This window comes from Homo sapiens, chromosome X (assembly GCF_000001405.40).
Source record: "Homo sapiens chromosome X, GRCh38.p14 Primary Assembly".
Classification (NCBI taxonomy): Eukaryota; Metazoa; Chordata; class Mammalia; order Primates; family Hominidae; genus Homo; species Homo sapiens.
Window position 1 is genome coordinate 67,688,572 of NC_000023.11, and position 15,364 is coordinate 67,703,935.

At 41.4% G+C, this 15,364-nt stretch overlaps 1 protein-coding gene across 5 annotated transcripts in view; it reads left to right on the plus strand.

Annotated features, from left to right (window-relative positions):
* Positions 1-15,364, plus strand: part of AR (androgen receptor) — a 186,599-nt gene that overhangs the window by 144,551 nt on the left and 26,684 nt on the right. For 2 of the 5 annotated variants that reach the window (NM_001348061.1, NM_001348064.1), the window contains one exon: positions 6,102-7,504. The exons of 2 other annotated variants lie outside the window; for them this stretch is intronic. In NM_001348061.1, coding sequence (NP_001334990.1) covers positions 6,102-6,151 — 50 coding nt within the window. In that variant the 3' untranslated portion in view covers positions 6,152-7,504. Of the gene's footprint in view, positions 1-984; positions 1,188-6,101; positions 7,505-15,364 lie in introns of those variants that run through there. One more of the 5 variants, NM_001348063.1, reaches the window with a different exon arrangement.

Here is a 15,364-nt window from a genome sequence, read left to right on the forward strand (position 1 = left end):
AGAGAATCGCCAGAAAACACTCTTGATTACCTCAAACGAAAAAGTACCACCAGGATCCTGTTCAGAAGCTAATTTTAGTAATTAAGGGAATCATATGCTATGTTCAAATACCATGCCAGTAAAAACCCAATTGTTTACCTTCTTAAATCACTGCTTGAAGAGCAAATCTTTCCATTTTGCTGAATGAACTTATCTCCACGTTCCCTGCCCTACTGACACAACCCCCTCCCAAGTTTATTGTTAACTTACACATTCAATGCACAGCACACCTTTACTCAAACAATGGAAAAGAAAGAAAGTGTCAATTCAAAGTGGCCCTTGTCTATTCCTTAAGGAGTAGACTTCCATTTTCATCAGATTTGGATTTAGCATAGACATATTGATTACCTTGAAGAAGAATTCATATAATTTTATCTTCTGATTCCCATCACTCAAATCAAAATTACATAATATATTCCAAAATGGCAACTAGGAATGTGGCCTTGGGCAAGTCCCTTCTCTCCTCTGATGCTTGGTTTTCCCATCATAGAACTGGAATTGTGGCTTCACCGAGGACCTTTCTGGTGCTAACATTTTGTGATTCTATGTAAAAAGCCACACAGAAAGGATTGTTTTTCAGCCCTTTCTTAGATTGTCTGTTCCCTGCTCCCAGAAGTATAGATAGTGAGACTTGAGTGCTTTGATACATCGTAATTGTATCTACCTCCATTCACACCTACTTAAGATATCTGTCTAAAAGTAGACTAGACAGATTATTCAGAGAGTGGAGGGCAGAAGGGCTGTCTCTGTATCTTAAAGAAGCTGGCACTCTTCAGCTGATGGCTGCTTGGTCTTGAGGCCTCAAGATCTTTAATCTGGCTTTCTCTATAGTGTTTCATTCACTGTTTGGTGATGGAATCTCTTCAGTTCAGAGATACTTAATAGATATAGCTTTTTCTTTCCTGCTTCCAGGCCTACCTACCTGTTTCTTGCTTTTTTTTCTAGCAGCTGTTGTTGTTTCTGAAAGAATCTTGAGGGTGTTTGGAGTCTCAGAATGGCTTCCTTAAAGACTACCTTCAGACTCTCAGCTGCTCATCCACAACAGAGATCAGCCTTTCTTTGTAGATGATTCATTCCTGGCTGCATTTGAAAACCACATATTGTTAATTGCTTGACGAATTTAAATCCCTTGACTACTTTTCATTTCAGAAAACACTTACAAAAAAAGTCCAAATGAGGACCTTCCCTCCAGTGAATTAGCTGTGGCTTTCTCACAGTCCATAGTTAGGATAAATGTAAAGCCATTTCTCATTTTTCTCCGCACTTTCCAAGGGTACACTCCTTGTTTCCAAGATGGAATGAGAAATAAAGAAGTGCCCTTCCTGCCATCTTCTCCCCTGACCCTTTCCTCCTTCCCACTTTCCTCCTATTCCTCCCCAAACATGATTTATTTCTGCGTTTTGCAACTCTTGAGTTCTCAGCATTTAGTAAATGGTGTTGGTCCCTGTTGATTCCTTCCTCTCCTGGACCATGGAAGGTAGTAGGCCTTTCAGAAATTTCAGGTAGCAGCCAAACCCCAGAAGAAGAGAAGGAACACAGAGACCTAGACCATGTGAGAACCTGAGGTGTGCAGCATTTACTTCACAGATTCGTCTAGCATATTTGAGAGGTGTCTTTCCTACTAGGAGACTGAACTCTGCATCTGAGAATAAAAACTTAACATATCTACAGGTTTTGACAACCTCTGTGAATTATCTAGTTGAGAGGATGGCTCAAGGAGCCTATTGCCATGGTCTGATGTCGTTATGGACGCTATGAACATCCTTGCAGTTTCCATTGTTGAAGACAGCCCTGATGCCAGCTGTCTCATCATTCCCCATGTTCAAGAGCATCCCAGCATTGCTACCTCAGGATCCCATGTCCTGAATGCAACAGAGTGATTTCGCTGCTGAATTACTATTCATGGCATGGCTCTTCACAGCATTTATTCATCCATGTATCTATCCATTCATCCTTCCAGCCAGCCAAGAAGTTCACGCTTTCATCTTTTCATCCATTTACTCACCTATTTATTCATTTAGCAAATATTTATTGAGTACCAACTATGTGCCAGACACTCTGCTAGGCATTTTGGGGAAGCAGAACTGAATAAGATACTATTCCTTTCCTCAAAAATTTGAGCAAGAGGAGAAAGGAAGTAATGAGGAATATTCCTTAGCCATAAAGGAAAAATAAGAAATCACTTGGAAGAAGTTAGGTGAGATGGAAGGAAAAGGACATCTAAGGTAAAGCGTACAGTTTGAATAAAGGCACAGAGACATGAACAAAATGCATTGAGGGTTTGAGGAACAGCAATTGGTTTAACATGGCCAGAGCTGGGGAAATGGTAAGGGCAAGCTGAAACCACATTGAAAGCAAACTTGGTTATTATACTAGGTAGTTTAGACTTCAAGCAGTTGAAAATCTTTGAGCATGGGATAGGCATGATGACATTGTGTTTATTTGCATGTTTCTTTAAAGAAAACTGGCAGCAGCACAAATGTTTTGTTGATGAGGGTTTAAATTGTAGAAAGTGAGACAATTTTAGGAAGGCCAGCTAGAGAGAAATTTCTAGCATCAAATTTTGCTAAACACCTAGGATTTGTAGTTACCTCCATTTGGGTTGTTACCTGCAAGTACTGACCACGTATATGAAGAAGTACTGGTTTAGACCAAGGCAATTGGCTTGTATAAGAGGCCTACCCTCATACCAAAAGCCAGTTTCCTTGGTCTAGGCCAGTGTTTACTGGTATGTGTCCTGAGAAAACTAGTTCCATGACATGTTCCATGAAAAATATGATTTCTATTGTCAAATAAGTGAGGGAAACTTGCATATCATGGTCCTGCTCAGGAAGATTTACAATCCTTATTAGCATATCACAGGTCCTGGTGAATACTGCGGTAAAGTAACCGAGGAGCTTTGTAACTCAGGATTCCCGAAGTTGATTCAACCACAGGACCTCATTTATTCACATAACACCTGTTATCCTACAAAACCACTGTTCTCTGGAATACACTTTCGAAAACATGGGTATAGACAAAAACTCTATCCTATAGGCAGAGAATACCTATACCTCTAGCTCAGGTCATCATTTTGCAGATGTGTGTGTCATTAAGAATCAGTCAATAATGCATTAATGATCAAAAGCAGACCATCCTTACCACATGGTGCATAAGATTATGCTATTATGCTATTAGCTACTAATGCCACTAAAGTTAATTATGTTGGGTCTGCAACGTTGTCATACACAAAGGATAGGATGCAAAACTGTCCTAGGCCAAAGCATGGTTATTGCCCAAGTTATCTAATGTCTGCAGGTACATATTCCTGGCCTAAGGATTGTGCTAAAGAAGTTATTTCTAAGAAATATAGTGACTTCCAGCATCATGCAGAATGACCATTTAATATTTTGAATATCTAGACATTCTGCTGTAGAATTTAATAGTCCTTTTATACACTGTCTGACCAACATTTTGACATTTACTCAGAACCCCATCACAGTGCTACCACATAACCTCATTGCTAAAGTGGGAGGCCTAGAAATCACAGATTTGTAGAAACCATCCAATGATTGAATCCCCTCTACTTCCTGTTCAGCAGGCAGCAGAGTGTCATAAAGAATTAACAACGTGGAACTCAGTTACTGGGATTTCTTCCATTCTCCTTTGATTCTCTAGACTAGAATTCCAAAGACCCTCAGGCTGGTGATGCAAGTGGGAAGTCTCATTTCTGAGAAGTGCTGCTTCCTACCCACAATTCTTTGATAGCTGAGTGCTTTAGCTGATCTGCATAACTGAGGTGTGCACCAAGGAGCAGAATTACTCTATAAATTTTGGCATCAACATGTGCAACTTGTGACTCAGCACTTTGAAACTCTGGGGATTTTTTTGTTTGGTTGGTTTTTGTTTTAAGATGTCCTGTGGTATAGTGGAAATAGTACAATAGACTCAGATACAGAGAGGCCTTGTTTCTAGTCTTGGTTCTGTCACTTACTATCTTGATGTCCTTGCACAAATCACCAGACCTCTCTGAGCCTCAGTTTCTCCAACCACACTGTGGGAATAATAAAATCTTTTTTACGGCATTGTTGTAAGTATGTAGAGAAACTGGTACACAGTAGGCACACAATCAATGTCACCGTACCCTTCAGCCCTTCTTTTGTGGATGAAAAATGGTCTTTGTGCTCCCAGTCACCACTGGGGTCTGTTCTCTCTCTCTCTGCTGTTACAGTGTGGCTTTTGGTTCTTGTTTCTTTGTTCTTTGGTCTGTAAATTACCCTTGAAACAACCCTTGAAATTTCCACTCCATGACCTAAATCGTCATCCCTAAATTGGTTACATACATATTTGGTGACACTTTGGAGGGGAAAAGCTTTATGTCTCTCTAACTGTAGTTCTTAAGGGAATTTGCATATGGAAAAAACAGAGACTGCGTCTCTTAATTCCTCCAAACCAAATTATCTGGGATAGCACATATATGTTGTACTCTGTCTCTGAGCATTTGCTCTTAGAGAACTATGGTTAGAGCGAAGTAAATTTTTCTAATCATAAAAATTAATGATACCGCATATCTGATACTTGAATGAGTACCTCCTTGTAAAATTTATACTTAAATCCTTGAGTTTTTAAAGTGTAATAGCAATAGAAAGATTTTATTGTTGTTTACTTTTACTGTGAGTGCTCCAAAATCCCTCAGTTGCTCTTGAAAGAGCAAGATGATGCCATAGGCAATATTTTCCAAAGGTAGTAGGCAGAAAACTGAGTACACAGCACACAATAGGCCATATATACAAAAGCAAGTATTTTGCAAATAATAATAATTCAGGAAAAAAGCTTCACTTTCGTTGGTAACCTGTTTGTTTAAAACCATTTTATTATTTATTATTTAAAAAGAGTGTCACTTGTTACAGATTGTGGGATGTGTTCCTTAAGATCACAAAAATGTAAAATATTTTCTTTTTATACTGAACACATGCATAGACAACTTACCTGAGCAAGCTGCTTTTTGGAGACATTTGCACATCTTTTGGGATCACGTTGTTAAGAAGTAGAACTAAGGGAAAAACACGCAGCCACCCAGAAATCGGTAGAGCCTTCAGCTCATCTGTTATTAATATTTCTGTGACAACAGATATCTAGGAAGTAAACAGGAAATTGCATCGCTATCCTGCATCACCTTTTTTGGAATCAGGTTCCATTCTTCTCAGTCCAGTTCAACCTTGTGATACTTTTTAGATCTCAACCAAGGCATAGAAATATATTTTCCCTTGCTTAATACCCCATGGAACCAATGCCCCTGTGGTTGAAGTAAAAATTGATTGTTGAGGGACATTTCAGCCCTCTAGCAGTCAACAATTAAAAACATGTAAGCACCGAGCACCTGCAGAAAACTTGGACTGGCATTTGGATCTAAGAAGAAAATCTGCATCTTGACCAAGATGAAAAGTCACCAGCCCAAGCTTGTGCAGTGAAGTGTCATGTTGGCCACAATGAAACTGAAAGAGACTGATGACTCTCCTCAGGGTGGAAAATGAGGCATGGAAGCTTTGATTAGTGAGCTGTTAGGCACACAGACATTAATTTCAAAGCATTCTCATCTCCAGTCTGAGTAATAATGCTTATAGTATTATGCAATTGTTTGGCTGCTGCAAGAAATTCAGCAGACTCCAACAAGTAGTCTTTCTTGGTCTCTGAGTGACTGTAACTTAAATTCTACCTCCCTTCTCTTCTCCTACATCTTCTCACTCCCCACCCCACCCCCACATACACACAATTCTTGTCCACTATGTTCAGAGAGATGCACGCACACATATATATGTATATATATAGTATATTTGTCAATAAAGCAGAAAAGAAGAAAAAACTCCAAGTAAACAATTTTCCATTTCCCCATCTCACTTCTGTCTTACAAGTGGATAGGAAAAGAAAAACCCCCAGTAAAAAATGGCAACCGCCCACCTCCCCAACTTTACATGCTGCTTCCTATGTTAGAGGATCTGTCTTAGGCATCTGATTATGGAGCCTGCTAGATACAAGCCCGTATTTAGACTGCTACAGTCAACAATGTCTCTCTTTCATACTAGAAAAATTCCGGGTTGGCAATTGCAAGCATCTCAAAATGACCAGACCCTGAAGAAAGGCTGACTTGCCTCATTCAAAATGAGGGCTCTAGAGGGCTCTAGTGGATAGTCTGGAGAAACCTGGCGTCTGAGGCTTAGGAGCTTAGGTTTTTGCTCCTCAACACAGACTTTGACGTTGGGGTTGGGGGCTACTCTCTTGATTGCTGACTCCCTCCAGCGGGACCAATAGTGTTTTCCTACCTCACAGGGATGTTGTGAGGACGGGCTGTAGAAGTAATAGTGGTTACCATTCATGTAGTTGTGAGTATCATGATTATTGTTTCCTGTAATGTGGCTTGGCATTGGCAAAGTGCTTTTTGATTGTTCTTGATCACATATGATGGGGGCCAGGCACTGACTCAGGCGGATGCAGTGAAGCTCTGGCTCAGTCGCTTGCTTTTCGTGGTGTGCTGCCAGGAAGAAACTTTGCTGATGGGACTCAAGGTGTCACCTTGGACAAGAAGCAACTGTGTCTGTCTGAGGTTCCTGTGGCCATCTTTATTTGTGTATTAGGCAATTCGTATTTCCCCCTTAGGTTCTAGCCTTCTGGATCCCAGCCAGTGACCTAGATCTTAGCCTCAGGCCCTGTCACTGAGCTGAAGGTAGTAGCTGATCCACAGAAGTTCAGTAAACAAGGACCAGATTTCTGCTTCTCCAGGAGAAGAAGCCAGCCAACCCCTCTCTTCAAACACACTGAGAGACTACAGTCCGACTTTCCCTCTTACATCTAGCCTTACTGTAGCCACACTCCTTGATTGCTCTCTCACATCACATGCTTCTCTTCATCAGTTGTAAGCCTCTCATTCTTCTCCCAAGCCAGACTCAAATATTGTATTGATGTCAAAGAAGAATCACTTAGAGTTTGGAATATCTTGTTCTCTCTCTGCTCCATAGCTTCCATATTGACACCAGTTTCTTTCTAGTGGAGAAGTGGAGTCTGTGAAGCCAGGGAAACACACATGTGAGAGTCAGAAGGACTCTCCCTGACTTGCCTGGGGCCTGTCTTTCCCACCTTCTCCAGTCTGTCTAAACACACACACACACACACACACACACACACACACGCTCTCTCTCTCTCTCCCCCCCCAACACACACACACTCTCTCTCTCTCTCACACACACACACATACACACACACTTCTTTCTCTTTCCCCTGACTCAGCAACATTCTGGAGAAAAGCCAAGGAAGGACTTCAGGAGGGGAGTTTCCCCCTTCTCAGGGCAGAATTTTAATCTCCAGACCAACAAGAAGTTCCCTAATGTGGATTGAAAGGCTAATGAGGTTTATTTTTAACTACTTTCTATTTGTTTGAATGTTGCATATTTCTACTAGTGAAATTTTCCCTTAATAAAGCCATTAATACACCAATCGTATTTTCTTATTTACAACAGACTGAGAGAATTAATGCTGTTAACATTGGATCTTTTTTCTTTTTTTTTTTTCCTTTTTTTTCTCTCTCGTTTGCTTTCCAGGTCATGCTGACCTGTTCAGCTTGGACTGTTTCACATTTGTTTTTAATGTCAGTTTAAATGTAATTGTAAAAGCATGTATGCTCTAAAATCATGTAGTTACTTTTTTCAGTGGAAAAGCCTGGTATTCGAAAGCATTTCCAGGCTCTGCAATTTCATATGAGCAGGTTTTTGGTAAAATCTTTTGTCCCTCACTCAGGGTGGTATCTGGACAGTGAGCCCCTTTCTTCTGGCTCAGTAGTCAGAGAGAGGAGACTTGGAGACAGTTTCTGCTGGATCCTGTGCTTTGGCAAGGATGTGCAGCATTGCATATCATTCTATCATTAATTATGTTTACTCCTCCATGAACTAAAAACCATTAGACTAAATAGTCCAACATAAACCTTGAAAGATAAAATTTGATATTCTTTTGCCTGGCCATTTCTCTGACCCAGAATTGGGGCTGGGAGGGGATTGGAGACTTGGGGGAAAGAATCAAGGAGCCTTCTTGCCTGGGGGAATTTGGCATGCACTTATTAATCCCATTTGGTTGCACTCCCTACTAATCCCTCACTCCATACCTGCCAAGGATTGGCTCTGCTCCCTGCTTCTCATCCCTGTCCTAGTTCTTCCTCACCTATCTCCATTTCCCACTACTGATCCTTCTCTCCAGTAAGATGCTATTCAACCCGATGAAATATAAAGAGTAGCACCACCCTGGAAGTCAGGATACCTTAGTTTTAGCTCCTGCTCTACCATTATCTAGCTGTGTGACCTGGGGCATGACTTAACCTTTGCTCTTCAGTCTGAACAGTCTTTAAGAATTGGTTTGGAGGAGGAAGGAAGGGATAGACAAGATCCAAGGCCTTTGAACTCTTTTTTGGAAATGGGTCCTTTTCTTCAAACAAAATTTGATGCAGAGTCCCAAATTTACCTACAGAATAAAATACTGCTGTTCTTGTTTGAAAGGAAGTGGGGTGCTTGGAGCCACATGCTCAGGCCCACTTTGCCCCCTCTCAGGAACCCTCGAAAAAACTTATAGGACTTATAGGACTGTTGGGGATCTGCCAAGTCTCTCTTATGTTACATTTCAGTCCTTGTGAAACTCTATATGTTTCATCAGTTCACTTTTTCAGAAAGTTCACCTGCTTGGGGTAAAGGTCATGAAGTGGAGAATGTGGGGCTCAGTAACTAGCAATAGTAAAAAACATCATTGATTGGCTTGCAGAATTTACTCTGTTCTAAGCATCTTACACACATACTCATCCGAAAACTCACAACAACCTTGTGAGGTAGATCTGTTATTATCTTAAGATTCTGAAACCTGCCAGCATGACTCTCAATCTTTGACTTGAGACCAGTTGCCCAACATGGAAGGTTATACTTTTCACAGTTTACCACCATAAGCAGTCTTTCAGAGTGATTTCTAGCTAGAGATCCATTCTTAGAAAAAGTCAGAACCTGCCCATTAGCATACACTGTCACATGGTGCAGAGTACCTTCACTGGGTTCATCTCATTTCCTCCTAAAAATAGTCCTATGCAGTAGTCCAGTCATATCATCACCATTATATAGATGAGAAAAACTGAGGTGTAGGAGAAATCAAGAGATCTGTTCAAGGTCACACATTCCATAAGACTCTGAATACCACCATCAAGAATAATAAACCTTTTATGTGAAAAGCATTTTAGAACTTCAGTGTCATTATTGCATTCTGCCTCCTGGAGTTCAGTGCACTTTTTCACCATGCTTTAATCTTGGAGTCCTGGTGGTACAGAATCTGCCTTCTACTCTCAGACAACACCACAGTGTCTTTATCCCTCATAACAAACTTATGAATTAAGTAATGATATTATCCCCATTTTACAAATTAGTTAACTGAGATACCAAGAGGCTAAGTCTTGCCCAAAGTCACACAGCTAGTCAGTGATAGAGCCGGAGTTACAAATGAGGCATCCTGACTCCAGAATATTTGCTCTTAACTACTACTCTTTATACATATGTAAGGAAACTAAAAGCAAAAGAGGGAAAGATGTCCCTGAGGCCCCACAGTGAGCTCCCCTGACTCACAATCCAGTATTCCTCTGACCTTCTAATCCTAAAGTTATACAGTAAGGTCCCTTGACTCTAATCCTAGTAGATGGAAAGATGGCTGGCATGATTTAAGCCAGAGGCCACAAACTGGCTTCCCCAGAGCCAGAATTCACCTGCAGAATTCTGTTTGTCCAGCACAGTGTTTGTTTAGAAAATTGACGTAGACTGCCCCTAGGCAGGGCATCAATCACTGTCATTGTCCCCAGCCCTCCTTATTTATGTTTGCCAGGCTTTTTTACTCATTTATGTGTCTGCCTGACTTGTGAAGGTATTTGAGTTTATGACTTTTAGATTTAAGCATTGCAATATATAAGCACTGCACACATGCATTCACAAAAGTATAGCCTAGTCTAGCTTCACAAAGAATTTGTAGCCCTACACCAAACACACCTTTATGTTTACTTAGTGTTTAGAATTAGATTTAAGATCAGAATTTAGTTTCACAGGCATTCATGTGTGGAAGAACCTCAGTTATTGTTTTTTGTTTCATACTGTCTCACCCTTGCTTTCCCTGCTGTGTCTGGACCCCTGTCAATCCTGCTTTCTGCCATTCTTCATGCCTGAGTTAGGGCCCCTGCAAGCCATTCACTGGTTAATCTTTAGGAATGAATGGAGAGTGAAAACCAGTTTGGAGGGTTCACTGTGTCCCAAGCATCCTCTCATTTAGTTCTCATAAGTGTCCTAAGAGACAGGTAGCAGCACATTCGTTTTATAAATGAGGAAACTAAATCTCAGAGAAGCTGAACAAAGACCTCAAAGTCATTAAGGTAGTAATTAACGGAGCCGGGATTTGAACGCAAGACTGTTGGACTCCAGAGCCTATTCTTTTGCCCTACACCACAGTTCCTTACAAGGAAGATGTATTCATTTTCTATTACTGCATAACACATTGCCACAAATTTAGCAGCTTCAAACATTTATCAGCTCACTGTTTTGTAAGTCAGAAGTCTGGCACAGCATGGCTAGATTCTCAGTTCAGGGTCTCTGAAGGATGAAACTGATGTGTTTACCAGGATGCATTCTAATCTGAAGCTCAGGGTTCTCTTCCAAGCTCATGTAATTATTGCAGGATTCAGTTATTTGTGGTTGTAGGACTAAGGCTCCCTCTTCCTTTCTGGCTACCAGCCAAGGGCCATTCTCAGCTCTTGGAGGCTGCCCTCTTTCCTTATCATGTGGACCCCAACGCCTTCAAAGCCAACAACAGAGACTCTTCCTTGTGTTGAATGTTTCTCACTCTACGGATGTCTTTCCTGGAGGATCCCAGTCCCGTAAGGGCTCACCTGATGAGGTCAGGTACATCAAGAATAGCCACCCTTCAAATTCAACTGAATTAGCACCTTCATTACATCTACCTAGCCTTTTTACAACAGCATCTAGGTTAGTGCTTGACTGAATGACTGGAAACTAAGGTCTCAGAATCTCGGGGACCGTCTTAGAAGTCAGCCTACTACAGATGTTGATTCTTTTCATGTGTCAAATTTCATAGTGAGATAGGGAGAACAGAAACATCACATCCTTGACCTTAGGTAAAGGGATTCAAACTTCCTAAGACTTTGGAAACTTCACGCCACTTTCACCTTTTCCTTAATCATGGTTGAGAAGGCCTATATCTTGGAGTGGCCAGGAGTGAGACTGGAACAGTACCTAAAGGTTAAGGACGCTAAAGAAGTTACAGATTGGTTACATCTGCTCCTCCCTAGGAATGATCCATGGAACCTGATTTGAAATTTTTTTCTCTGGTGCTATAGATAGCTCCCACAGGGGTCTAATGCCCCAGGGCTGAAAAGTTAGTTCCCCATAGGATCCATCCAGGCATGATATCAGGCCAGGTGTTACAATCTCCTAAAGAGGAGGTATGGACTGGAAAGCCCCTTGCCAATGGCCCTTTCTTGTCACTGCTCTGACCCAAGACTAACAGGGCAGAGATAGTGAACTCACATACTATTAAAACTATCCACTTATACTTCCCCCTTTCTCTTTGCTTTATCACTCCATTTAAGTAAACCAATGAGTCTCTGCCTTGACACAGTGGCAAGCTGACCTGTATCTTATATGAAAGAATTAGATTTGACTCTGGGGCTCAGGTGCAGAGGGCAGGAGGGGCATAAGGATGGCCTTCATGGAAGAAAAGAAGTCCTTGGATACTGAGTAACAGCTGAGACTAGCAAGCCTCATTGTCCAGGATTCCAAGTCGTCTAGCAACATCCTGGTCTCTGCTGCAGACAGAACAGAGGATCCCCCGGCAGAATGAATGGAGTCTGATTTCAATTACGTTCAGTATAGTCACTCTCTTTAGGCAGAGAAGCCAGAACACCTGGTGCAGCTAGGGCCACTGTGGTCACAGGGACAAGCACACTACCTGGGTCCTGGAGGCAAGTGGGAATGCAGTTTTTCTTCCTTAAGCAGATGCCATATAGGCCTGGGGAGGAGGATGTGAGAATACCAGCCAAGTTCTCATTGGCACTATACAGAGAAAGGGGAATTATTTCATCTTGATGGATTCTCCCCACAGTCTCTGCACATATTGATCTTACTTGTAATGAGTTTGCTTAGGTTCACGAGTCATCATCCCAGGGAGATCTGAGTCATTGGTGGGAAAGTCGAGGCGACAGATTATATCTCACTGATCTCACTGTCACCAATTGCTCTGTGTGTCCCTCCACCTTTTGAAAAAGTCCATGGATTCATTTGTGTGTAATTCATTTGGATTTATTTCTTCTTTATCAATAGCTTTAGTGGGGTATTGCAAATGGGAAAGTTGCCCCAGAGAACAGTGTACATTCACAGCATTATTCAGTAGAACTTTCTGAGATGATGAAAATCTTCTATATCTTATGTTGTACAATATAATACAGCCACTAACTACATGTAGCTTTTGAACACTGGAAATGTGGCAGGTGAGACTGAGGGATTATATTTTTAATTTTTTAATGTTGTAATTAATTTAATTTTTTAAAATTTTTGCTTTCTATTTTATAGTTTAATAATTAAACTAAACTTACGTAGCCCACATGTGGCTAGTTGGCTACTATACTGGACAGTACAAGTCTAGAAGGATCTCAGAGAGACACATGCTGAGATACAGCAGGAATAAGTCAAAAAGAGAGCCAATGTAACATAGGGAATTCTGGATTGGGAATTAGAGCCCTGGCTCTAATCTCAGCTCTGCCACTAGGTGACCTTGCCCTCTCTGGCTTCAGCCTCCCCATCTTTGACTTGAAAGGTTAAACTAACTAACGTCGAAAGTCCCAAAATGGTGGCTATGGACTGAATTCAATTTTGGGATACACAAGTTTCAGGAATTTTTTAAAAATCTATTAATGCCTTCTAGGTGTGTGTATGCACGCTTGCAGACATGTGCCCATGCACAAGCATGGGAAGGCAGTAAGGCATTCATTTCAATTCACCAGTGTACTAACCATTCACACACACACACACACACACACACACACACACACATGCACACACACCCTACTGTATTGCCTATGTAGAGCCTGAAGATCTTTTAATCTGTCACCATTGGATAAGATAATTTCTAAGGACCCTTCCTGTTTTGTCATGCTGAAAATCTTTAAGCCACTATAGTGTCCCAAATCTATTCCAGTTTGGGCAGATGACTGGAGTATTCTCATAGCCTCCTGTCTATTCCCTTCTGGATTTGATACTAGTTATGAAGTTTGGAGTCAAGGGTGAAGAAGGGAGGCAGGGATGATATAACCCCAGCCCCACTCCTCAACTCTGCTTTTGAGTTAGAAGTAGGGTTCAGGGCTTCAGATTCCTTGGGGAGGCAGTAGAGAGAATATGGGCTTTATAATCAGAAGATGAGGTTCAGATGATTGGGTTCTCACCTTTTTTATAGCTGTGTTACCTCAGTTTATTCATTTGTAAAATAGGGATAAGAAATATCTTTAACCTCCTAAGATCATGTGGAATTAAGTGATGTAATGTGATGAAGCGAGGCACGCAGAAGGCCCTGAAAAAATTAGTAGTTACCCTTAAGGGGACTAAATGGTCTGGCAACTCCCGAGCTCAAAGCTAGAAAGGTCCAGTAATGGGGAAGATGGGGTCTTTCTGTAGGAACTGTAGCAGGGGAGCAGATCCTGTAGGCCACCAGTCTGTGGAGCTGTGTCCAAGAACTCATGTTTGCAATAAGCCCACCAAATGACAAGTTATTGTGGGGTTCAGGCCTCTAACTCAAGAAGATGGTCTTGGCCCAGATCATACCTTGCAGCCTGTGCCTTTGGTGGGATGTGGGTGTTGGCAGTGGCTATGCATATCTCCTTATTACTGGCTGTGCCAAAGCCCCGCAGAAATGATTGTTGGACAAAGTCATCTTGCACTCAGGGCTGGTTTTCCAGGCTTCCTTGTTATTTTCCCCTGAGTTCTTCTGTGTTCCTCTTGCAACACCAACCCCACTATTTTCCTCTTCCCTACCCTAGTTGTTGGTCCAAACATGTAATCCATTCTTGCAGTGATTTATTGGGTGACACCATGACTGGAGTTTGCATTGAAGGACTTCTTTTTCTAATTAGAACTAAAAGTCAGTTCCAGGCTGGGTGTGGTGGCTCACGCCTATAATCCCAGCACTTTGGGAGGCCGAGATGGGAGGATTGCTTAAGGCCAGGAGTTTGAGTCCAGCCTGGACAACATAGTGAGATCCCATCTCTACAAAAAATGTTAACCAGGAGTGGTAGTGTACAACTCTGGTCCCAGCTACTTGGGAGACTGAGGAGGGAGAATTGCTTGAGCCCAGGAAGTTGAGGCTACAGTGAGCTTTGATCGTGCCACTGCTCTCCAGCTGGGTGACAGAGGAAGATCCTCCTTCAAAAAATAAATAAAAACTAAAAAAAAAGTCAGTTCCAGGTTGTATCTTTTTTCACAGGGGCCAGACACAGATGAGAGCAGGTTTTGTTGTATTTATCCATTTAAATTGAGCAATAAAATTCTCTCTTTGGTTTCTACCTTTCTTATTTATTATTATTATGTTAAAGGGATTAAAGTGGTTCATGGTCTTTCTCAGTGCAACTGCTTATGCTAGACCTCAGAATTATGACCTTTTCAATTATTTATATTTCTGTCTATATAAATACTGGAAAAAATAGTACAAAGTAAGCATCGGAATGCCTAAGGACCTCTAAATTGTGTGTGTGAGCACATGGGGAAGATGGTTCTTAAGGTTTGAGTTTTGGATTATTGTGGTTGTCTTAAATAATGTTATTTCTATCATTCTTTCCAATGACTGTCTCCTAGCATAGTTCCCATTTTACAGACTGATGGCAGAGGCAGAAAGATTCTCTCACTTCTTTGATACTATTGAGGACTTCAGCCTTTCACCGCTCTTCTCCCCTTTGCTAAAAAAGAAAAAAATCAATATGTATGTTACAGTGCATTTTTTTAAATATTTTTTATTATACTTTAAGTTCTAGGGTACGTGTGCACAACTTGCAGGTTTGTTACATATGTATACATGTGCCAAGTTGGTGTGCTGCACCCATTAACTCCTTATTTACATTAAGTATATCTCCTAATGCTATCCCTCCACCCTTCCCCAACCCCACAACAGGCCCCAGTGTGTGATGTTCCCCTTCCTGTGTCCAGGTGTTCTCATTGTTCAATTCCCACCTGTGAGTGAGAACATGCAGTGTTTGGCTTTTTGTCCTTGAGATAGTTTGCTGAGAATGATG